The 23081-nt window shown below is 39.2% G+C and overlaps 1 protein-coding gene and 1 long non-coding RNA gene across 14 annotated transcripts in view, besides 2 other annotated features; one reads left to right on the top strand and one right to left on the bottom strand.

Moving 5' to 3' along the window:
• Window positions 1-23081, top strand: part of WARS2 (tryptophanyl tRNA synthetase 2, mitochondrial) — a 109457-nt gene that overhangs the window by 76121 nt on the left and 10255 nt on the right. For 10 of the 13 annotated variants that reach the window (NM_201263.2, NM_001378229.1, NM_001378228.1 and 7 more), the window contains 2 exons: window positions 18890-18970; window positions 22203-22288. In NM_201263.2, the coding sequence (NP_957715.1) occupies window positions 18890-18970; window positions 22203-22288 (167 nt within the window). The remainder of the gene's footprint in view (window positions 1-18889; window positions 18971-22202; window positions 22289-23081) is intronic. The other 3 variants (XM_047429105.1, XM_017000038.2, NM_001378231.1) reach the window with 1 other exon arrangement.
• On the bottom strand, window positions 1265-17147 carry WARS2-IT1 (WARS2 intronic transcript 1). The gene is made up of 2 exons (NR_126447.1): window positions 17020-17147; window positions 1265-1698 (listed from the first exon to the last, which is right to left on the bottom strand). It is a non-coding gene; the product is annotated as a WARS2 intronic transcript 1 (long non-coding RNA).
• Window positions 4019-4219: a silencer, noted in NCBI's record as "peak395 fragment used in MPRA reporter construct". NCBI's record gives its function as "represses an SCP1 promoter by STARR-seq MPRAs in K562 erythroleukemia cells {active_cell/tissue: K562}" and the evidence as "EXISTENCE:reporter gene assay evidence [ECO:0000049][PMID:32103011]".
• Window positions 21523-22024: an enhancer, noted in NCBI's record as "NANOG hESC enhancer chr1:119585151-119585652 (GRCh37/hg19 assembly coordinates)". NCBI's record gives its function as "activates a minimal SCP1, AML or CMV promoter by ChIP-STARR-seq in primed H9 embryonic stem cells {active_cell/tissue: H9 hESC(primed)}" and the evidence as "EXISTENCE:reporter gene assay evidence [ECO:0000049][PMID:30033119]".

Raw genomic sequence — 23081 nt, 5'->3', positions numbered from 1 at the left:
ATGTGGGAATTCTGGGAGATATAATTGAAGTTGAGATTATGTGGGGACATAGCCAAACCATATCATTCTGCCCCTGGCCCCTCCAAATCTCATGTCCTTACATTTCAAAACCAATCATGCCATCCCAACAGTCCCCCAAAGTCTTAACTCATTTCAGCATTAACCCAAAATCCACAGTCCAAAGTCTCGTCTGAGACAAGGCAAGTACCTTCTGCCTATGAGCCTGTAAAATCAAAAGCAAACTAGTTACTTCCCAGATACAATGGAGGTACAGGTACTGGGTAAATACAGCCATTCCAAATGGGAGAAATTGGTCAAAGCAAAGGGGTTACAGGGCTCATACAAGTCCAAGATCAGTGGGGCAGTCAAATCTTAAAGCTCCAAAATGATCTCCTTTGACTCCAGGTCTCACACTCAGGTCACGCTGATGCAAGAGGTGGATTCCCATGGTCTTGAGCAGCTCCACTCCTGTGGCTTTGCAGGGTACAGCCTCCCTCCTGGCTGCTTTCACAGGCCGGCATTAAGTGTCTGTGGCTTTTCCAGGCTCACGGTGCAAGCTGTCGGTGGGTCTACCATTCTGGGATCTGGAGGATGGTGGCCTCTTCTCACAGCTCCACTAGGCAGTGCCCCAGTAGGTACACTGTGTGGGGGCTCCAACCCCACATTTCCTTTCCACACTACCCTAGCAGAGGTTCTCCATAAGGGCCTCGCTCCTGCAGCAAACTTTTGTCTGGGCATCCAAGGCATTTCCATACATTTTCTGAAATCTAGGCGGAGGTTCCCAAACCTCAGTTCTTGACTTCTGTGCACCTGCAGGCTCAACACCACATGGAAGCTGCCAAGGCTTGGGGCTTCCACCCTCTAAAGCCACTGCCCGAGCTCTGTCTTGGCCCCTTTCAGCCACAGCTGGAGTGGCTAGGACACAGTGCGCCAAGTCCCTAGGCTGCACACAGCACCAGTACCCTGAGCCTGGCCCACAAAACCACTTTTTCCTCCTGGGCCTCTGGACCTGTGATGGGAGGGGCTGCTGTGAAGGTCTCTGACATGGCCTGGAGACATTTTCCCCATGGTCTTGAGGATTAACATTAGGCTCCTTGCTACTTATGCAAATTTCTGCAGCGGGCTTGAATTTCTCCCCAGAAAATTGGTTTCTCTTTTCTCCCCAGAAAATTGGTTTTGCATAGTCAGGCTGCAAATTTTCCAAACTTTTAGCTCTGCTTCCCTTATAAAACTGAATGCCTTTAACAGTATCTAAGTCACCTTTTGAATGCTTTGCTGCTTAGAAATTTCTTCTGCCAGATACCCTAAATCATCTTTCTCAAGTTCAAAGTTCCACAAATCTCTAGGGCAGGGGCAAAATGCTGCCAGTCTCTTTGCTAAAACATAACAAGTCACCTTTGCTCCAGGTCCCAACAAGTTCCTCATCTCCATCTGAGACCACCTCAGTCTGTACATTATTGTCCATATCACTATCAGCATTTTGAGCAAAGCCATTCAACAAGTCTCTAGGAAGTTTCAAACTCTCCCTTATCTTCCTATCTTCTTCTGAGCCCTCCAAACTGTTCCAATCTCTGCCTGTTACCCAGTTCCAAAGTCACTTCCACATTTTCAGGTATCTTTTCGGCAATGCCCCACTGTACTGGTATCAACTTACTGTATTAGTCTGTTTTCATGATGCTGATAAAGACATACCTGAGACTGGGAAGAAAAGAGGTTTAATTGGACTTACAGTTCCGCATGGCTGGGGAGGCCTCAGAATCATGGCAGGAGGCAGAAGTCACTTCTTACATGGAGGTGGCAAGAGAAAAATGAGGAAGAAGCAAAAGTGGAAACTCTTATAAACCCATCAGATCTAGTGAGACTTATTCACGATCATGAGAATAGCATGGGAAACACGGGTCCCCATGACTCAATTACCTCCCTTTGGGTCCCTCCCACAACACGTGGAAATTCTGCGAGATACAATTCAAGTTGAGATTATGTGGGGACACAGCCAAACCATATCAATCATACAACTTTTGTATAAAGCAAAAATTTAAAATATGGGATTAAAAAATGAATATAAGTAAAAGTCCTTTTTTTTTTATTTGCTGTGCTTCAGGAGATAGTCTTGCACAGCCTCTGAGAATCACAAATCTCATTTTGGAAACCACTGTTTTAATTGCTCATCTCCAGTGGCCACCATGCTATCTTTGTAGGTTCAAGTAAATATTCAGAATCATGAGACCACCACAGGTTATGTTTGGTACTAGTCTACTTAAAAAGGCATAGAACAAGAACCTTAGCTTGCCAGCAAGGTAGCTTCTCTAAACAAGAGTCCTTACTAGAGCAGTCCCTGTAGCAGTAGGCAGCTAGCTCCAGGAGGTATTTTCTCTCCAGGTGTACTCATAGGTGTAGGAACTATTTTTTCTCCAGCTCAAATGCAAGGAGATGAGATCTACATCAGTGGGTGGTACAATCTCCCTTACCAAAGAAGCCTCAGTTTTCCACAAGAGCCAATATCTATTTTTACATTTCATATATAGACCTTGGGGTCACTGAAAGAGATGTACCAGTTACAAGGGTCACTATACTCAGGAAAGCCTAAACTATTACTTTCTCTCAGGTATTTATAGTTCTCTAAGCCTAGATGTACTTTACCAGCTGGGGATTATTTTTATCATAAGCAATGTTGCCTAGCAGTGTTGTTAACACATACTGTTTTATCTGGTAAATACAGACCTAGGTTGTTGATCCAGAGTCAGAGTCTCATGGAGCAGGTGAAAATGTTTTGTTAACCTGCTTACTCAGTTGGCTACTAGATTCCATTAACTAATAGAATCCATTAGATCAGTCATGTTGCTGCTCTTTTGATTCTCTACTACCATTTCTGTACTTACAGACAGAGCAATAACCTGTGAACACTTTAATGCTGTAAAAATAACTATGAGGAATTAGTTTCTCCCTAAGGGAGAAGGTAGCATCCAACTTCCTGATCCTAAATATGTAGTTTCATGAGACTATGTTCCTTTATTTTCTCAATCTTCTAACTCTATCTTCCTTAAGTGGGTTAATTTCTACTGATCTATCTTTTCATTCAGTGACTCTTCTGCCCTCCCAATCTGTGTTTAAGACTTTATAATGATATTATTTCAGATATTGTATGTTTTTATTCTAGTATCTTTATTGGCCCTTTTTTATTGGTTTAAAAAATTTATCTGCTGAGATTTTCTATCTGTTTATTCATCTCAGGAATATTTTCTTTTGTATCTTTAAGCATAGTTGTAATAATCGCTTCAAAATTTTTGCTAATTAAATACAACATATGGAACATCTCGGGTTTGGTCTCCATTGACTGCCTCTTTTCTTAAGAATGGTTTTTGTTTACCTATTTTTTAATATGTCTAATAATTTTGGCTAGTATCTTGAATATTTTAAATGACAAATTGAAGAGATTTTAAATTATGTTGTATTCCTCTGAAGAATATCTTTAAATAAAAATCTGTTGTTTTTTTAGCAGGCTCAAGCCCCAAATTGTCTTTCCAGTAGTAAGCAATAATTGAAATATTTTGCCAGTTGTTTTAGCCATTGTTGGACAGCTTGGAGGTGGCCCCGTGCATGTGGAATTCAGGGGTTGGCCAGATACTTGGGTAGAGTTAATACATAGAATATAAGGCTATACCACTCTGACTCTTTATTTAGAAATTTCACTGCTTATTTTCCAGGCATTATGGTGACCCAAACTTTGTTTTTTCATTCTTCAAGCCAGTAAGAATGCAGGTTTCTATCATATTTAGATGCTTTTTATGTCTGCAACTGAGGACTGCCCTCAGACAGAAAGTCACAAAACAGGACACTTACTCCGTGTTATCCATTTTTTAAAAGAGTAAACCACACCCCTAGTTTCTGCCTGCTTTCGATTGTTCTCCAATGCCTTCAGGCCGTTGATTTTTATATTTTGCTCAGAGTTGAAACTTGCTATCTGTGTTAGAATTTATCCAATAGGAGCTTGCTATCAACTGAGTTGTATCCCTCAAAATTCATATGTTGCTCCCTTAACCCCCAGTATGACTGTATATAGAGATAGGGTCTTTAGGAAGTAATTAAGGTTAAATGATGTCCTAAGGAGGGAGCCCTAATCTGATAGGCCTGTGGCCTTATGAGAAGAGGGAAAGATCTGTCTGTTTTTCTCTTTTTCTGCCTGCCATGTGGGGTTATAGCATGAAGGCAGCCATCAGTAAGCCAGGAAGACAGGAAGGGAGCACTCACTAGAACACAACCATGCAGGCCCCTTCATCTCAGACTTCCAGCCATCAGAACTGTGAGAAAATTAATTCCTGTTATTTCAGCAGCCCAGTCTATGGTACTTTGTTATGGCAGCCCAAGAAGACTGATACCAAGCTAAGTAGCCATTACTAGAAGTGAAAGCCTTGTTTTTAGATTGGATTGGAAAACTCAATATTGTTAATATGTTATCTTTTAAACTTTTAAGTTCAGGAGTACAAGTGCAGGTTTGTTACATAGGTAAACTTGTGTCTTGGGGGTTTGGTGTACAGATTATTTCATCACCCAGGTATTAAGTCTAGTATCCATTAGTTATTTTTCCTGATCCTCTTCCTCTTCCTACCCTCCACCCTTTGAAAGGCCCCACTGTGTGTGCTTCTCCTCAATGTGTCCATGTGTTTTTATCATTTAGTCCCCACCTATAAGTAAGAACGTGCAGCATTTGGCTTTCTGTTCCTGTGTTAGTTTGCTAAGGATAATGGCCTCCAGCTCATCCATGTTCCTGCAAAGGACATGATCTCTACTTTTTTTAAATATTGATCTATAGACTTCTCACAATCGCAATGAAAATTTCAACATACATTTTTATATAAACTGACACACTGAATCTGAAATGTATAAGGCCATGCAAAGTGTTTAGAATACTCAAAACAGCTTTGAAAAAGAAAACACAACTAGAGGACTTATACTGCCTTTTGAAGCTTATTATACAGCTATAATAATTGAGAGTGTGGTATGGACATAGACTTACAGGTCACTGAAAAGAAATGTAGAAAGCTGAAACTGGATCCCTTCCTTACACCTTATACAAAAATCAATTCAAGATGGATTAAAGACTTAAACGTTAGACCTAAAACCATAAAAACCCTAGAAGAAAACCTAGGCATTACCATTCAGGACATAGGAATGGGCAAGGACTTCATGTCTAAAACACCAAAAGCAATGGCAACAAAAGCCAAAATTGACAAATGGGATCTAATTAAACTAAAGAGCTTCTGCACAGCAAAAGAAACTACCATCAGAGTGAACAGGCAACCTACAAAATGGGAGAAAATTTTCACAACCTACTCATCTGACAAAGGGCTAATATCTAGAATCTACAATGAACTCAAACAAATTTACAAGAAAAAAACAACCCCATCAAAAAGTGGGCGAAGGACATGAACAGACACTTCTCAAAAGAAGACATTTATGCAGCCAAAAAACACATGAAAAAATGCTCATCATCACTGGCCATCAGAGAAATGCAAATCAAAACCACAATGAGATACTATCTCACACCAGTTAGAATGGCAATCATTAAAAATTCAGGAAACAACAGGTCCTGGAGAGGATGTGGAGAAATAGGAACACTTTTACACTGTTGGTGGGACTGTAAACTAGTTCAACCATTGTGGAAGTCAGTGTGGCGATTCCTCAGGGATCTAGAACTGGAAATACCATTTGACCCAGCCATCCCATTACTGGGTATATACCCAAAAGACTATAAATCATGCTGCTATAAAGACACATGTACACGTATGTTTATTGCGGCACTATTCACAATAGCAAAGACTTGGAACCAACCCAAATGTCCAACAATGATAGACTGGATTAAGAAAATGTGGCACATATACACCATGGAATCCTATGCAGCCATAAAAAATGATGAGTTCATGTCCTTTGTAGGGACATGGATGAAATTGGAAATCATCATTCTCAGTAAACTATCGCAAGAACAAAAAACCAAACACCGCATATTCTCACTCATAGGTGGGAATTGAACAATGAGATCACATGGACACAGGAAGGGGAATATCACACTCTGGGGACTGTGGTGGGGTTGGGGGAGGGGGGAGGGATAGCATTGGGAGATATACCTAATGCTAGATGACGAGTTTAGTGGGTGCAGCGCACCAGCATGGCACATGTATACATATGTAACTAACCTGCACATTGTGCACATGTACCCTAAAACTTAAAGTATAAAAAAAAAAAAAAAGAAATAGGGAATCAAGAAGTAGACCCACATATATATGGTCAAATATTTTCAATGAAGGGTTCAAAGCAGTTCAGTGGGGGAAAAAATAGTCTTTTCAGCAGAGGGTGTTAGGTCTCCAGCTAGATGTCCATGTGAGGGAGAACATGAACCTTGACTCTCACCTCATACCATTCACAAAAAAGATCAACTTAAAACCACCACAGACTTAAATGTAAAATCTGAAGCTATGAAACTTCTGAAAGAAAATATGGGGAAAATTTTCCAGGCCTTTAGGATAGGCCAAGATTTCTTAATAGTACACAAAATCACTTAATATAAGAGAAACTATTGATACATTTGATTTCATCAAAAGATAAAGCCTCTGTTCTTCAAAAACACCATTAAGAAAATGAAAAGGTAACCCATAAAGTGGGAGCAAATATTCACAGTACATATATCTGGCAAGGCTTTTATCCAGCTGTATAAAAAACTCTTAATAATAAGGAGACAACCTAATTTTTTTTCTTTTTTTTTTCTTCTCAGATGGAGTCTTGCTCTGCATCCAGGCTGGAGTGCAGTGGTGGGATCTCGGCTCACTGAAACCTCTGCCTCCCGGGTTCAAACAATCCTCCTGCCTCAGCCTCTAGAGTAGCTAGGATTACAGGCACCTGCAACCATGCCTGGCTAATGATTATATTGTTAGTAGAGACGGGGTTTCACCACATTGGCCAGGCTGGTCTTGAACTCCTGACCTCAAGTGATCCTCCCGCCTCAGCCTCCCAAACTGCTGGGATTACAGGCATGAGCCACTGTGCTCGGCCATGCTAATATTTTAAATGGCCACTTTATTTGAGTAGACATTTCACAAACAAAGGTAACAAATGGGGCCAGGCGCAGTGACTCACGCCTGTAATCCCAGCACTTTGGAAGGCCGAGGAGGGAGGATCACGAGATCAGGAGTTCAACACCAGCCTGGCCAATGTGGTGAAACCCTGTCTCTACTAAAAACACAAAATTTAGCCGGGCTTGGTGGTGTGCACTTGTAGTCCCAGCTACTCAGGAGGCTGAGGCAGGAGAATCACTTGAACCCAGGAGGCAGAGGTTTCAGTCAGCCGAGATCGTGCCACTGACTCCAGCCTGGGCGACAGTGCAAGACTCCATCTCAAAAATGATAATAATAATAACAAATGGCTAATAAGCACATGAAAAGTTCAACATCATAGTCGTCAGAAAAAAAACCATAGTAAGATACCAGTTCACCCACTTGGATGACCAAACTTAAAGATACTGAGAATACTATGCTTTGGTAAGTATGTTGAGAAACTGGGATTATTTTACATTGCTAGTAACACTGTAAAATGATAAATCTACCTTAGAGAACAGTTTGTCAAAGTTAAACGTATACTTACCACGTGACCCAGCAATTCTACTCCTAGGTATTTACCCAAAAGACTTTACCAATAATCTACAAAAAGAGTTGTATAAAACATGCTGAGTATTAAAGCCAAGCATAAGAGTTTATATTATATAATTTCATTTAAATGATATAGAATAAGCCAAACAAATCCACAGTAACAAAACTGATCAGTGGTTTCAAGAGCAAGGGGTACAAAGGGACATGAGAGAACTTCTTTTGGGAGAATCAAAATTTTCTGTATCTTGATTGGTGTATAGATTTGTCAGAATTCATTGAACTGAACAGCTAAAATGAGTGCATCTTATTGTTTATAAAGTATGCCTCACTGGGCTTGATTTACTATATATAATATATATATTTAGTATATATATATATTATATATTTAGTCTATAGTCTAAGTCTACAAATATATAGAATGTATATGGACTAAATATATACTATAAAAATATATAATGTTTAAATGAATAGGCTCGTAGGATGTTGTTATATGAACCAAAAGAAAGAAGGAAAGCCCATGGAATTGTGTAGTGTAGGGAACACTGCAGGTAGTTTACTGCAGCTAAAAAATTGGTATGGGCCAGGCGTGATGGCTCATGCCTGTAATCCCAGCACTTTGGGAGGCCATGGCAGGCAGATCGCTTGAGCTCAGGAGTTTGAGACCAGCCTGGGCTACATGGCAAAACCTCGTCTGTACTAAAATTACAAAAAAAAAAAAAAAAAAAAAATTAGCCAGGCATGGTGGCACTTGCCTGTAATCCCAGCTACTTGGTGGGGCTAAGGCAGGAGAATCGCTTGAGCCTGGGAGGTCGAGGCTGCAGTGAGCCAAGGTCACACCACTGCACTCCAGCCTGGACAGCAGAGAAACAGAGAGAGACCCGTCTCAAAAAAAAAAAAAAAAAAGTTATGGTATGAAATTTTCATCTGATCTTTGAATCATGTATTCACAATGCAACCAAGAAACAGCCTGCTCAGAGTTTTATTCCGTAAACTAATAATTTGATTTGTTGATGTATCATGTTCCCTATACTGATAGTTTGTTTCTTTTATCAACTGCTTTTCTTTAATCCCCCAAAATTGTCCTCCAATCCATAACTTTTGACTATTTCCCTTCAGATTTTCTTTCTTTCTCCTTTCAGATATTCTTTCTTTCCTTCCTTCCTTCCTCCCTCCCTCCCTCTTCTCCTCCTCCTCCTTCTCTCTCTCTTCTTTCTTTCTTTTCTTTCTTTCTTGCCTTTCTTCTCTGTTTTTTGTTTGTTTGTTTTTTCTTTTTGGGACAGACTATCCCTCTATTGCTGAGGCTGGAGTGCAGTGGCATGGTCTCGACTCACTATAACCTCTGCCTCCTGGGTTCAAGTGAATCTTGTGCCTCAGCCTCCCAAGTAGCTGGGACTATAGGTGCGCACCATCATGTCCAGCTAACCTTTTTGTACCACCATGCCTGGCTAACTTTTTTGTATTTTTAGTAGAGATGGGGTTTTGCCATGTTGGCCAGGCTGGCCTTGAACTCCTGACCTCAGATAATCCACCTTCCTCAGCCTCCCAAAGTGCTGGGATTACAGGCATGAGCCACCATGCCTGACCACTTCTCAGATTTTTTTCTAGCCATTTCGTTTCTCTCTAATTCTAGACTTGTATTACCAGCTATCTTCTAGACATCTCTGTGAATATCTTCAAAGTCTCAAGTTCAGCATATCTGAAACCAGACCTTTCCTTTTTGCCTCAAACCAGCCCTTCCATGTGACTTTTAAAAACAATTTATTGAAACAAAACTCACATAACATAAAATTTACCATTTTTTCCAACTTGAGAAATACGTTTCATCTATATTTTTATATACCTTTTTAAAAATTTTTGAAATTTGTAAAACACATTAAATTTATCATCTTAACCATTTATAAGTATAAAGTTCTGTAATGTATATTCACATTGTTGAACAACCAATCTCTAGAACTTTTTCATCTTGCAAAACTGAAAATTCTATACCCATTAAACAATAACTCATTCCCCTCTCCCCCACAGTTCCTGGCAACTCCCACTTTACCTTTTGTCTCTATGAGTTTGACTACTCAAATGTATACCTCATACAGATAAATCATACAATATTGGTCTTTTTGTGGCTGGTTTATTTCATTTAGTATAATGTCCTCCAAGTTCATTCATATTGTAGCATGTGTCAGAATTTTCTTAATTTTTAAGGCTGAATAATGTTACATCATATGTTTGTACATTTCATTTATCTAGTCATCTTATAATGGACATTTGGGCTGCTTCCATCTTTCAGCTATTGTGAATGATGCTGTTTTGGGCATGAGTGTACAAATATTCTTTGAGACCCTGCTTTTGATTCTTATGTATATATATGAGAAATGGAACTGCTGAATCATATGGTAATTCTATTTTTAATTTTCTGAGGGATCGCTATGCTATTTTCCATAGCAGCTGCACCATTTTACATTCCTATCAACAGTATACAAGAGTTCTAGTTACTCCATATCCTCACCACACTTACTATTTTCTGGGAGATATATATATATATGGCAGCCATCCTAGTGGATATAAGGTGATATCACATTATGGTTTTGATTTGCATTTCCCTAATTATTAGTAAGATTGGGCATCTCTTTCATATGTTTGTTGGCCATTTGTATATGTTCTTTGGAGAAATGCCTATTCAAATCCTTTGCCCATTTTTCAATCGAGTTGATGTTTAGTTTTGTTTTTGCTGTTGATTTGTAGGAGTCCTTTATTTAAAATGTTTTATTTAATAATAATAGTTATTGTTTTATTTAACAATAATTTATAATTAAATAAATTATAATTTATTAAATAGTATTATTTAATTATTATTATTATTTGATAGGGGGTATCTCTCTGTTGCTCAGGCTGGAGTGCAGTGGTGTTATCATAGCTCACTGCAGCCTTGACCACCTGGGCTCAAGCCATCCTTCTGCCTCAGCCTCCTGAGTAGCTGGGACTACAGGTACATACCTCTATGCCTAGCTAATTTAAAAAAAAATTGGTTGGGGGATGATAGAGATGGGGCCTTCTTGTGTTGCCTAGGCTAGTCTTGAATTCCTGGGCTGAAACAATCCTCCTGCCTTGGCCTCCCAAGTGCTGGCATTAGTGGGGTGAGCCACCGCACCTGGCCTTAAGAGTTCTTTGTATAATCTGGATGTTAACTGCTTGCCAGACATATGATTTGCAAATATTTTTCTCCCATTTTATAGGTTGCCTTTTTACTCTGCTGATTGGGTCCCTTGATGGAGAGAAGTTTTAAATTTCGATGTAGTTCAAAAAACCTTTATTATTTTGTTGGACCTAAGTTCCTGGGGCTATCAAATATATCAACATAGAAATTTTAAATACAATCTTACTGAAAAGATAGGTTTGAAAAAAATCAGCTGTCTGCCATCAATTTCTCTACAGGTCAATTCTCTTATTTTTTGTCATGGTAGCTAATTTGGGGGATGTACTAGTGGTAGATTATTATTGTTCCCAGTTATTCATTTTTATTTATTGTAAGAGCAGAGATTATCAAACTTTCTGTGAAAGGATAGATAGTAAACATGTTAGACTTTGCAGGCAGCACGTAGTCTCTATCGCCACTGCCATTGCTACTATCTCTTCCTTGTCTTCTTTTTCTCTTTCTTCCTCTCCTCTTTCTCCTCCTCCTTCTCCATTTTTCCTCTTCTTTTTTAAAAAAAAATTTGATTACTCTTATGAAATGCAAAAACCATTCTTAGCCCATGGGTGGAACAGAAAGAGTCCACAGGCCAGATTTGGCCTGGGAGCAGTAGTTTGCTGACCCCTGCTTCGGAGGATTATATGTCCTCACCCATTGCCTTGTGACTTCTCCTGTGGGAGAGGCATCTCTTTCTGTCCCACTGATGTTGGACTTGTCCATGTGGTTTACTTTAGCCAGTGGAAAGTGAGTGGGCATGATGTACACCATGTTCAGGAAGAATCTTTAAGAGCCATTGCATGTTTGCTCTAGCTCTCTTGCTCTTTTTCCTTCTGACATGAGAACAGAATGTTCAGATAGGGGCTATTTGTTCAACTTGGATCCTGGAATGAAAAGATCTATAAAGCAGAATTATAGCCAAGCTATAGGTACCAATATGTCATGTGAAAGAGGAAGAAACAATTCCTGTAAGCCACTTAAATTTGGGGGCTGTCTGTTACCCTGTATAGCCTAGCATAATCTGATGAATATATTGTTACAGGTAAACACACACACAAGCACAATAAGCAATAGAATTTACATAGAGGTGACTTTTAAATCAAGAACAGCCTGACAGAAGCTACTTATTTAACTTTGGAAGTATTAGACTAAGAAAAAGTATAGAGAACTCCAGATGTGTACAGACAGATGTTTATTGGCAAACAAGAGTACTGAGTGGGGGAAGACCAGTTGAAGAGAGTGAGCTTATATTGATACAGAGATTCCTTAATTAAAATCAGAACCCCAGAGTTCCTGTTAAGGGGATTTGTCATGGGGATAGTAAGAGTCTAATAAAAACAACTCAGCATAAATTGCTAGTTTCCAAGAGGAAGCAATAAATGAGAATTTCTGAGTCTAAATAGTCTTCCAAGTGTCCTAACTAAAACTTACAGGACCCAATTCCTAGGAAGATAACATTTACATGCGAAAAAATAAAATCTTAAGGGACACAGAGATTTGATCCAGGATTTACTGAGCCAGCTAATTGCTTGAATCAATTGATTGATACCTAGCAGCTATATCTTTCAGAATCATGCTGTCTATCCTGCACTCTTTCTGTTAATTAAATATTTTTGAAATTAAAAAAATATTAAAAATTAGCCCATCTCAAATCTTTAAAAATACAGCAAGGGCCGGGTGCGGTGACTTACGCCTTTAATCCCAGCACTTTGGGAGGCTGAGGCAGGTGGATCATTTGAGGTCAGGAGTTCAAGACCAGCCTGGCCGATATGGTGAAACCCCGTCTCTACTAAAAATACAAAAATTAGCCGGGCGGTAGTTGCATGCATCTGTAATCCCAGCTACTTGGGAGGGTAAGGCAGGAGAATGCTTGAGCCTGGGAAGGTGGAGGTTGCCGATCGCGCCACTACACTCCAGCCTGGGCAACAGAGTGAGACCTTGTCTCAAAAAAAAAAAAAAAAAAAAAAATTACAGCGAGATACCAACTCATATCAGTCTGAATGGCTATTGTTAAAATATCAAAAAATAACAGATGCTGGCCAGGTTATGGAGTAAAGGGAACACTTATACACTGTTGACGGGAGTATAAATTAGTTCAACCATTGTGGAAAGTAGTGTGGCAGTTCCTCAAAGAGCTAAAAACAGGACTACCATTCGACCCAGTAATCCCATTACTGGGTATATACCCAAAGGAATGTAAATCGTTCTACCGTAAAGATACATGCACACATATGTTCATTGCAACACTATTCACAGTAGCAAAGACGGAATCAACCTAAATACCCATCAATGGCAGATTGAATAAAGAAAATGTACATATACCACATTTTACCATGGATTACTGTGCAGCCATAAAAATAAAAAATAAGATCATTTTCTTTGCAGGAACATGGACGGAGCTGGAGGCCATTATCCTTAGCAAACTAACACAGGAATGGAAAAACAAATGCCACATATTCTCACTTATAAGTGGGAGCTAAATGATGAGAACACATGGACACATAGAGGGGAACAACAGACACTGGGGCCTACTTAAGGGTGTCGAATGGGAGGAGGGAGAAGGGCAGAAAAATAACTAATAGGTACTAGGCTTAGTACCTGGGTGATAAAATAATCTGTACACCAAACCCCTGTGACATGAGTTTACCTCTATAACAAACCTGCACATGTACTCCTGAACCTAAAATAAAATTTAAAAAAAAAGCAAAATGCAGAAAATGGTAAAACTTTCATATTCCCAACACCAAAAATGAATATTAATATTTTGTCATATTTGTTTCAACTTTTTTATATTAAAAACATTATTGATGAAGTTGAGGGTTCCTTCAATTCTTTCCCTTCCTATTCCCTTTACCCCTCCTGATTGCATCTCTTTCCTCTATTCCCAGGCAACCAAAATCTTGGATTTGGTGTCAATCTAGCCTATTTTTTATAATTGTTTTCATGTGTAATTCGATGAACAGTATATAATATTTTTGTTTGTATGGTTTAAAATTTTTTTCGTAGTTGGTATAATAGTACAGTACTTTTTTGCAGTTTTTTTTCACACACTAGTATGTTTTTGTTATTCATGTTTATTCATTTAAATCTACCTCACTTATTTGTATACAGTATGCAACTATATACATATGCCACATGTTTAGACATTGTCTATAAATGTCTAATGTTTACTTTTATGCATGCATTCATTAAATATTTATTGAGTACTTACCATGCCCTAGGTACTATAGCATGATATATTAGTGAATATATCAGAGAAAAATCTTTGCTACCATGCTACTTATGTTCTATTAGAGTAATATAAAATAATAAATAAATAAGCCAAACATAAAGTATATTAGAAGGTGATGAGTGATATGGAAAAAGATTAAGGAGAACTGGGAGTGGGATTGAGGGGAACAGACTCAATCAGTGTAGTTTGGGTAAGCCTCCTTGGTAAGATGATATTAGAGCAAAGACAAGGTGAGGGCGTTAGTCAGTGAATATCTAGGGAAGACAATTCCTATCAGAGAAAAGCCAGTGCAAGCCCTTAATGTAAGAGTGTACTTGGTGTTTTCTGAGAACACCAGAAGGCCAGCATGGCTGGAGAAGAGGGACAAAGGGGATAGGAGTAGGACTTGAATCACAGAGGTTACAGAGTTGAAACGGAGGAGATGACTTTGCCTCATCTTACAGGCTGTTATGAGGACTCTGGCTTTTACGCTGAAAAAATGAAAAGTACATGAAAGATTTTGAGCGGAGGAGTGATGTGATCTATGTTGTAAAGGCGTCACTTAGGCTGGTATGGTAAGAATAGACTGTAGGGAGCTAGAGTGGAAGCAGGGAGACCAGTTGGGAAGTTATCACAGTGTTCTGGGGGAGGATTGATGGTGTCTCACACTGGAGTGCTAGCAGTAGATGTGGTGAAAAGTGGTGAGACTTTGAATATATTTTGAAGGTAGAGGCAACAAGATTTGCCAATGGATTAGATACAGAGTGTGAGAGAGTACGAGGAGTGAAGAATGATGCCAAGGTTTTTGCCTAAGCAACTGCAGAGTTGGAGTTACCATCCAAGAGATGGGACAGCTGTGGATAGAGCAGATTTGGAACGGAGGATCAGGAGTTACGTTTTGGATGTGTTGAGCTTGAGAACCTGTTAGATATCCAGATAGAGAGGCTGAATAGGTAGCTGGATATATGAGTCTGGAGGTCATCAGCAAGGTCTGACTGGAGTTATAAATTCAAAAGGCATCAACTATACATATTTTACTTAAAGCAGTGAGATGATGTGATATTGCAAAGGGAGTGGGTATAAAAAACAATAGAAGAAACAAAGACTGAAACCTGGGTGTCAGCAATTAAGAAGTCAGGTTAAAGGGGAGGAACCAGCAAAAGGAGACTGAAAAGAGAAACTATTGAAATACGGAGAAAACAGCAGATGGGGGAGCCAGAAGGGAGATGGTTTTCCCCTGGAGTTGGGCCGCTTGGTGGCCCAGGTTGTCCTCCGACTGCCCCAGACAAACCCCATGTCGTTCCGCCCGTCAGTGGCCCGCTGGTGTGCTGCCCGTGTTTCATGTGTTCCTCCGCTGATGTGCTCCCCTCGATGTCCAGCCGCCTGTGTGTCTGCCTGCTAAGGTCTCAGTATTTTATTTTATTTTATTTTTTACTTTTTATATTTTTGGGACAGAGTCTCGCTCCGTTGCCCACGCTAGAGTGCAATGGCTTGGTCTCCGCGATCTCAGCTCACTGCAGCCTTTGCCTCCCGGATTCAAGAGATTCCCCCGCCTCAGCCTCCCGAGTAGCTGGGATTACAGGCACCCGCCATCATACCCAGCTAATATTTGTATTTTTAGTAGAGACGGGTTTCGCCATATTGGCCAGGCTGGTCTTGAACTCCTGACGTCAGGTAATCCGCCCACCTCGGCCTCCCAAAGTGATGATTACAGGCGTGAGCCACCGCGCCTGGCCGGGTCTTGGGGTTTTTATAGGCACAGGACGAGGGTGTGGCCGACCAAGGTGATCTTGGAAAATGCAACATTTGGGCAGGAAAACAAAAATTTTTCTCCTCGTCTAGGTCCATGGGCACATGTCCGCGTGTGGAGCCCTAGCCATAGACCATGCCTTGCCCCTCTTTGATATCATTTAAAGGGACCACACCCTTCTTTCCCCACTTCTGTATCATTGTGATATTAAGCTGTAGTTATGCATGATGTTGCCATTGAGGGAAACTGGGTTAAGGGCGTACGGGATCACTCTGTATTATTTCTTACAACTGTATGTGAATGTACAATTATCTTAAAAGTTAAAACAGAAGTATTTCTAAAAATTGTAATAATAAAAGCCACCATTTATTGAGTAGTTACTATATGCTAGGTTCTGTTTACATACTATCAAGTGGATATTATTGTTAACCTCATTTTATAGAGGGGAAAACTGAGACACAAAGAGATTAAATCACTTACACAGAGTCACTCAGCGACTAAGTGGCAGAACTTGCATTCAGATCCAGGCAACCTCACTCCAAAGACAGGGCTCTTAACTACTTTGCAATGCTTATTGTGTATCTGCCTTTATATCCTGCCTTCTAGTCTCACTCGTCAGCCCACTGCAATTTACCTTTCATCCCAATCACTCCCCTGAAACTGCTTTTGCCTCAATCACCAAGTCTGTTGCCAAACCTAATGGTCCCATTCTTTTTACAGCCTTTGCTATTGCCCACGCATTCAACAAATATTTCCTGAGGTACATTGTATGTCTCAGGACATGCAATGTACCAAGTTACTTTCTACAGCTGTGAAAAAGATAGGCAAAACTGCTGCAACTGAAGAATGCACCTTTTAGAATTAGAGGTCTGAAATCTTCAGTTCTTTCTTTCTACTCATCACTGCTGACTTGTTTGTGGATGGTCAATAGGCCACTTTATTGTCCATGCCTTTGTTTTTCTGTGGCTAATCGGGTTATACAGCTAGTTTGTTTTTGGTTTCACAGCATAAATGATAAAATATTATATTTAGATACCATTTTTCCTTTTTCTCCCAAGTGGAACTCTGAACCTTTCCATGCAATTGTCATGAATATGAATGAAGTAAGACAACCAAATCCTGAAGTATCCTACCCTTCTTATATAATTATTAAAAATGAATTGTAAAAAATTAATTGCCATTGACCTTTTACCTACTTTTTCTGTATGAAGATAATTTGAATTAATTTTATGCTCACCATTTTGGAAACACCAGGAAGATCTCTGCAGAATATTAAGTAAGTTTCATTCCATATGTCCAAATAAAAAGCTACTCCAAGGAAAATACTCAGCTTCGTGGAGACATAGTGGTAGCTTTTTGCGTATCACCAAAGCTAAGCATTTGAATCAGAGTTAAAGAGGCGTCATCTTGTCTCCTTCCACATATCCATGGTTATTATCTGTGTTTTCATTCCTTTCTTCCAATTCAGTAAAGAAGAAAAAAAAAATTCTCTCCTACTTCTTCATGCCAGAAAAACAGCTCTTGTTTTATTACTTCTAATGGGAATGTATTTTCCTTGGTGATTGGAAGCAACTCTAGTCCTCTTGCCTACATCCAGGGTTAGTTTCTGTTTTTGTCTGATAGCTATTTGTTTACAGCAGCAGTTAGCAATTTGCATGGACAGTGTGTCAATGTCACTGCCCTGAATGAAACCCAAATGCCTCTTGGAAGAAAGATGACAGATTCAGCCCAGGGACTTGCAAAACTTTAAAAGTGATTCCTTATCAAACACGTGAAAAACAACTCTTCCCTCTCTATAACTTGAGGAAAAAAATGAGAAACTATCTTACAACAGATGGCGATTCCTTGTTAGTAGAACAGGCCTGGGCTGATTCAGCTCCACTCCTTTATGTTCTTTTTGCAAAACCCACAAAGAACACATTTGGGGCCACTTTTCAGAGTTGGCAGCAGTCTCTGCTTTTTAAGGAAATCATGTGGATGAAAAAAAAAAAAAAAGCCACAGTTGATGAAGGGCTTGTAATCCCCAGAGTAAAGAAACGGGATGCATAGGCCTTAAATTCTAGGTCATCAGGTTTGGTAGCTTGATTAAATTTGGTTGAAACAAACAAATTTGGGGCTGGGCGCAGTGGCTCACGCCTGTAACTCCAGCACTTTGGGACGCTGGGGTGGGTGGATCACGAGGTCAGGAGTTCAAGACAAGTCTGGTCAAGATGGTGAAACCCTGTCTTTCCTAAAAAGACAAAAAAAAAAAAAAATTAGCCGGATGTGGTGACAGGTACTTGTAATCCCAGCTACTCAGGAGGCTGAGGCAGAGAATTGCTTGAACCTGGGAGTCGGAGGTTGCTGTGAACTGAGATCACACCACTGCACTGCAGCCTGGGCGACAGAGTGAGACTCTGTCTCAAAAAAAAAAAAAAATTGGGGAAAGTTTATATTTTCTTGCTGATTAGACTTCTTCTTAAAAAAAAAAAAAAAAAAAAAAAACAGAAAAGGAGGAGAGGAAGATGAAAAAGAGGAGGGAGAGGAGGAAGTAGAAACTATAAAAATACCTTTTGGGGTGATGGAATGATAAAGTGATCTCTAACTTTCAAGTTACCCTATATCTAAAGAATTCAATCTTTAATGTTAAGTCCAGTACCTTTTTCCACCACTTATATGTAAAGTACTATAGCTGCTTTGATGTATTTAGAAGTTATTTAGAGAGGCTTGGAACCAGTGTGTGAGTGTGTGTGAGTATGTGAGTGTGTGATAGAGAGAGAGAGAGTGTGTGTGTGCCTTCTTAATAAGCTTGGCTTTTTACAGATAGAACAGATGCCTCAGGACATCATGAAACTTTCTCACTGAAGATGTTGAAGCAGAATCTGGTGGGGTATTGTGGAGTAGACTTAAACACTAGATTAATAACCAAATCAGTTAGCTTGTATGATTTTTTTCTTCACCTAAGAGTCTATGCTTCATGAATCAGAACTAAGCCCCCTTCACCTGTTCTTATAATAACCTTAATTTGGGGTATTTTCAGACATTTAGGGTAATACTTACTACTTAGTTCTTCTTATATGCAAGAAAACACTGGCCACCTTTACTAATGTTCTATTTTATTTCTTTAGGTGTCTGAACACACACAATTAAGTTGGATCCTTTCCTGCATGGTCAGACTACCTCGATTACAACATTTACATCAGTGGAAGGTAAATGCCAGTAATCTGATTAATAAACAGACAAGAAGCTATTTTTCCCTTCCTGTTAGGCTCTGGGAATCCTGAGTTTACTCTCCTCCCTGGTCTGCCACTCACTAATGGTTGGAACATCATCTTTAACCTCCCTGCTTCAGGGTATTAAAAGGAAAATAAAAGGATTTTCCAAGATTCCTCCTGACTTAAAAATTAGGTTCATTGTTTTTATCTGTGTACAGTTGAATCAGAGTTACCTTTGGATAGACTTGGTAATGACTTTGAACAACCACATTATAGTTAATAAACAATCACAGATTGTAGATTACTAGACTCTGAGGTTGCCTCCCATTTCCACTGGAATTAACTGGCAGTAAGGAAAGAATGTTTTCATTGTGGAGAGAAGAGACAACATATTTTATTTAACATTTAAACAAGTTGAGTCCAGGCAACAGTTCAAACTCACAGAATAATTAGGGCTATACTTTTTGTAAGAAGTTCAACCAAGAAAGATAAATTGGATAATTCATAGTACTTTACTTCCATTTATTTTTGCAGTCGGATAACCCCAGGGTAGGTAGCCCCCAACTACGTCAACACTAATTTCAATTTCAAGCTTCTTTTGAGGTATTTTCAGGGCCATTGGTTTCCTCAAAAGCTGGTCTTCAGAAGCCTTCACACATGCTACAGAAAGAAATAGATAAAGCTTTAAAGTGACAGTGCCTAAATGATATGGTCTGAATGTGTTCCCTCAGAATTCATATGTTGAAACCTAACTCCCAAGATGATGGTATTAGGAGGTAGGGCCTTTGTGAGGTGATTAGATCTTGAGGGTGGGACCCTCATGAGTGAGATTAGTGCTCTTGTTAAAGAGGCCCTAGAGACACCGCTTGCTCCTGACAGCATCTGTGGACAGAGCTAGAAGTCACTATCCATGAACAAGGTTCCTCACCAGACACTGACTTTGCCTTAATCTTGGACTTCCCAGCCTCCAGAACTATGAGACATAAATTTCTGTTGTTTATAAGCCACCTAGCTGGGTATTTTGTTATAGCAGCCTGAGTGGACTAAGACACTTAATACATAAGATGGTACTAGTAATGCTGCAGATTCATTACTTGCCACAAATTAGAAACAAAGTTTCATAATGTTATCTGCCATATTTTGGTTTTAGGCAATACTTTCCCATTGTACCATAGTATTCTACCATTAAGTGTAATGTTGAAATCCTTTTTATAGGAACTGAATACTAATCTAATAGGAACTATTCCCACTTTAAAACAGCATCTAAAGATCTCCTGCTAGTATATTACTAGTGCATGTACTGATATTCTGGAAAAGCCTTTCCATTAGTATATAATTGCTTGTTTGTAGGAAATACATGAATTTCAAATCCCAGTCTTATCCTCAGATATGTTACTGTCTTCTGTGGTGATTCCTTCATTAATACTAATTAAATACTAGTGATATCTTCTGTGAGTCTTATGTCATAATAGGTGCTAGAGATATAGCAGTCAATAAGAAGTAACCCCCTTCGTGAGACTTATAGTCTGTTTGGGAAAAGACAATTAAACAAGTAATAAGAAAGTGTAAGAAGTGCTCTGAGTACAGGATTCCAGTGCTATAGGAGGATCTGATAAAGGCATCTAGCCTGGTTTCCATTGGGACAGCAAAAGGTGGAATAGTGGCACAGAAGGGTGGGGTGAGGGTTGCTGAGGTCAGGGTTATTTAGAGGATTAATGAGTAACATATATGTAAAACATCTGGAGCACATAATAGGCACTCAATAAATATTAATGCTCTCCACATTTTCCCTCTCCCTTGTAATTTCAAGGTCCATTATGCTAATACGAAAAGGCTATAAATTGAATGTGATGGCAACTTTTAAAAATTGGGTTCTTCTTCAATTTGCACGTTTCCAAATTAAACTTTCATTATCTTTACCTGGTGATAATTGTGAACTAGCCTTTATCATGAACTTTGTAATTAGGGGATGTAGTGAAGAAATTGTATGTTCAAACATTGAAATTTCCTTTGAATGGCCTAGAGCATTGGTTGCTATAAGCCAGAAACCACTTGAAGTATACTCAGAAAAGTTAAGTTTGTAACTAAATTATGAAACACCAAAATTAAGATGGCTAAGGAGAGAAGCTGTTGTATTTTCAGACTGAGCCTTAAAAAATATGTCTGCACCTTGGTAGGGGTATCCCAAGTTTGTAAGCTCATGAGCTTGGTCCCTGGAATAAAACAAGTTTATAAATTCAGTTGCCCAGTTCATTTGGAAATAATCAGACTTGAGGGAAATGATTCAGATTAACTCAATGAGTAAGATTTGTCTACACACCAAAGTATCCATTTATTTTACAAGAGATGCTATACCTTAGGCCTTGAAACTGCACAGAATATTGCCATCTAATAAGTAGCTCTACTCAGAGAATCAAACGACATGTCAGCAATGTGCAGCCACAGCAAGGGAGTTAGCATCATTAGGATCATGTTTAGTGAGTACACAGTAGTAGTTTATAATCAGCATCTATTGCCCCCCCCAGTTATTAAATGTTTCTAACATCATCTCAGGTGTTTCCATCAACTTCTCCATTAAGGAACTGTTTTGGTCTATACAACCTGTACTGCTCATTGGGTCACTTGACCCTCACTGCTTCAGCATGCTTAATCACCTAAGAATCAAGACAGGTCATTAGGATTGGTTAGATGAATATTTCTCTCACTTACTTTTATTTTTTAAATGCCATGACTTTTTTGTTTTTTGTTATTTAAATGTGATTTTAAGGGAACATTCCAGTTTTCTCAGTGGCATGCTGTGAGACTTTTTGGAAAGTCTCCATGTATAAACAATAGGGCTTTTGATATTAACTCATGTTAATTTGTAGAGATTTAATTTCATGACGGTTTGTGGCCTTGTCTGTGAAATCTGGAATTTATCCGATTTGGAACCAATAAATGCCTGTATCCTTACTTTAATAAAATAAATAAAAAATAGTAGCAGTGCAGGATCCCTTAAAGGGGCAGTGATGAAATGCACTCACCTTATTCCTGCCTCAGCCTGGAGCATGAAGACAAGCCAGCCAGAAGATGGCTAGAGTTGCTAAAAAGGAACCGATGTATAATGTTATTACAGGTGGCTTCAGATCACAATTTGCTTGTTTTAAAATTTTCTTAATCTAGCAGTATAATTAGGTTCAAGTCAGATTTCAGATTTCTTCCCCTCCTCTCTTTTCACCTCTCACAGGCAAAGACTACCAAGCAGAAGCACGATGGCACGGTGGGCCTGCTCACATACCCAGTACTCCAGGCAGCCGACATTCTGTTGTACAAGTAAGAAGAGAGTTCAGCCCAGTCTTATACATACTCATGGTGACAAGAGAGTGTTTTAACCTATTCAATACAGACTTGGTTCATGGGCAAGGGGAAGTGCAGAAAGCGTCAGACATCTGAATCAGTTTATATCTATTCCCCAGAAATACTACATTATAGAAGTATGTTTCTACATGTATAATGTACTACATTATAGAAGTATGTTTCTGTGAGAAACTAATAATATTAAGAGCTGACATTTAAATAGCACTTACAATGTGTTGGAAACCATTGTAAGTACTTTATATACATCAACCCTTACAACAACCTTCTAAAATTTGCACTCTTATTGTCCCGATTTTACAGATGGAGAAATTGAGGGACAGAGTGGTTAATAGCATGCCCAAAGTCATGTAATTAGCAAGGCTTGGAGCCAGGATTTGAGTCCAGGAAGTTTGGATACAGAGTCTGTGCTCATAACCAGTAGCTATATATATTTCCCCAGTAATGCCTGATTAAACTTCAAGCATTTTACATGTTGATTTTTTATATATTCTAGACTCTAAAGCAATGCTGTCCAATAGAATGCTCTGTGTTTATGGAAATCTTCTATGTCTGTGCTAGATCCTGTAGCCAGTAGCCACATGTGTGGCTATTGAGCACCTGAAGTGTTGCTAGTGCCACAGAGGAACTGAACTTTAAATTCTATTTAATTTGAATTAAATTTAAATAACCACTGTATTAGACCTACAGGTTGAGAGCAAGTTTTTAAAATATGATGTAGGGTACCTGTACTTTTCCTGGACCCCTAATC

Source organism: Homo sapiens, chromosome 1, assembly GCF_000001405.40.
Source record: "Homo sapiens chromosome 1, GRCh38.p14 Primary Assembly".
Taxonomy (NCBI): domain Eukaryota; kingdom Metazoa; phylum Chordata; class Mammalia; order Primates; family Hominidae; genus Homo; species Homo sapiens.
Note: the sequence above shows the minus strand (reverse complement) of the source record. Positions and strands in the feature narration are given on the sequence as shown.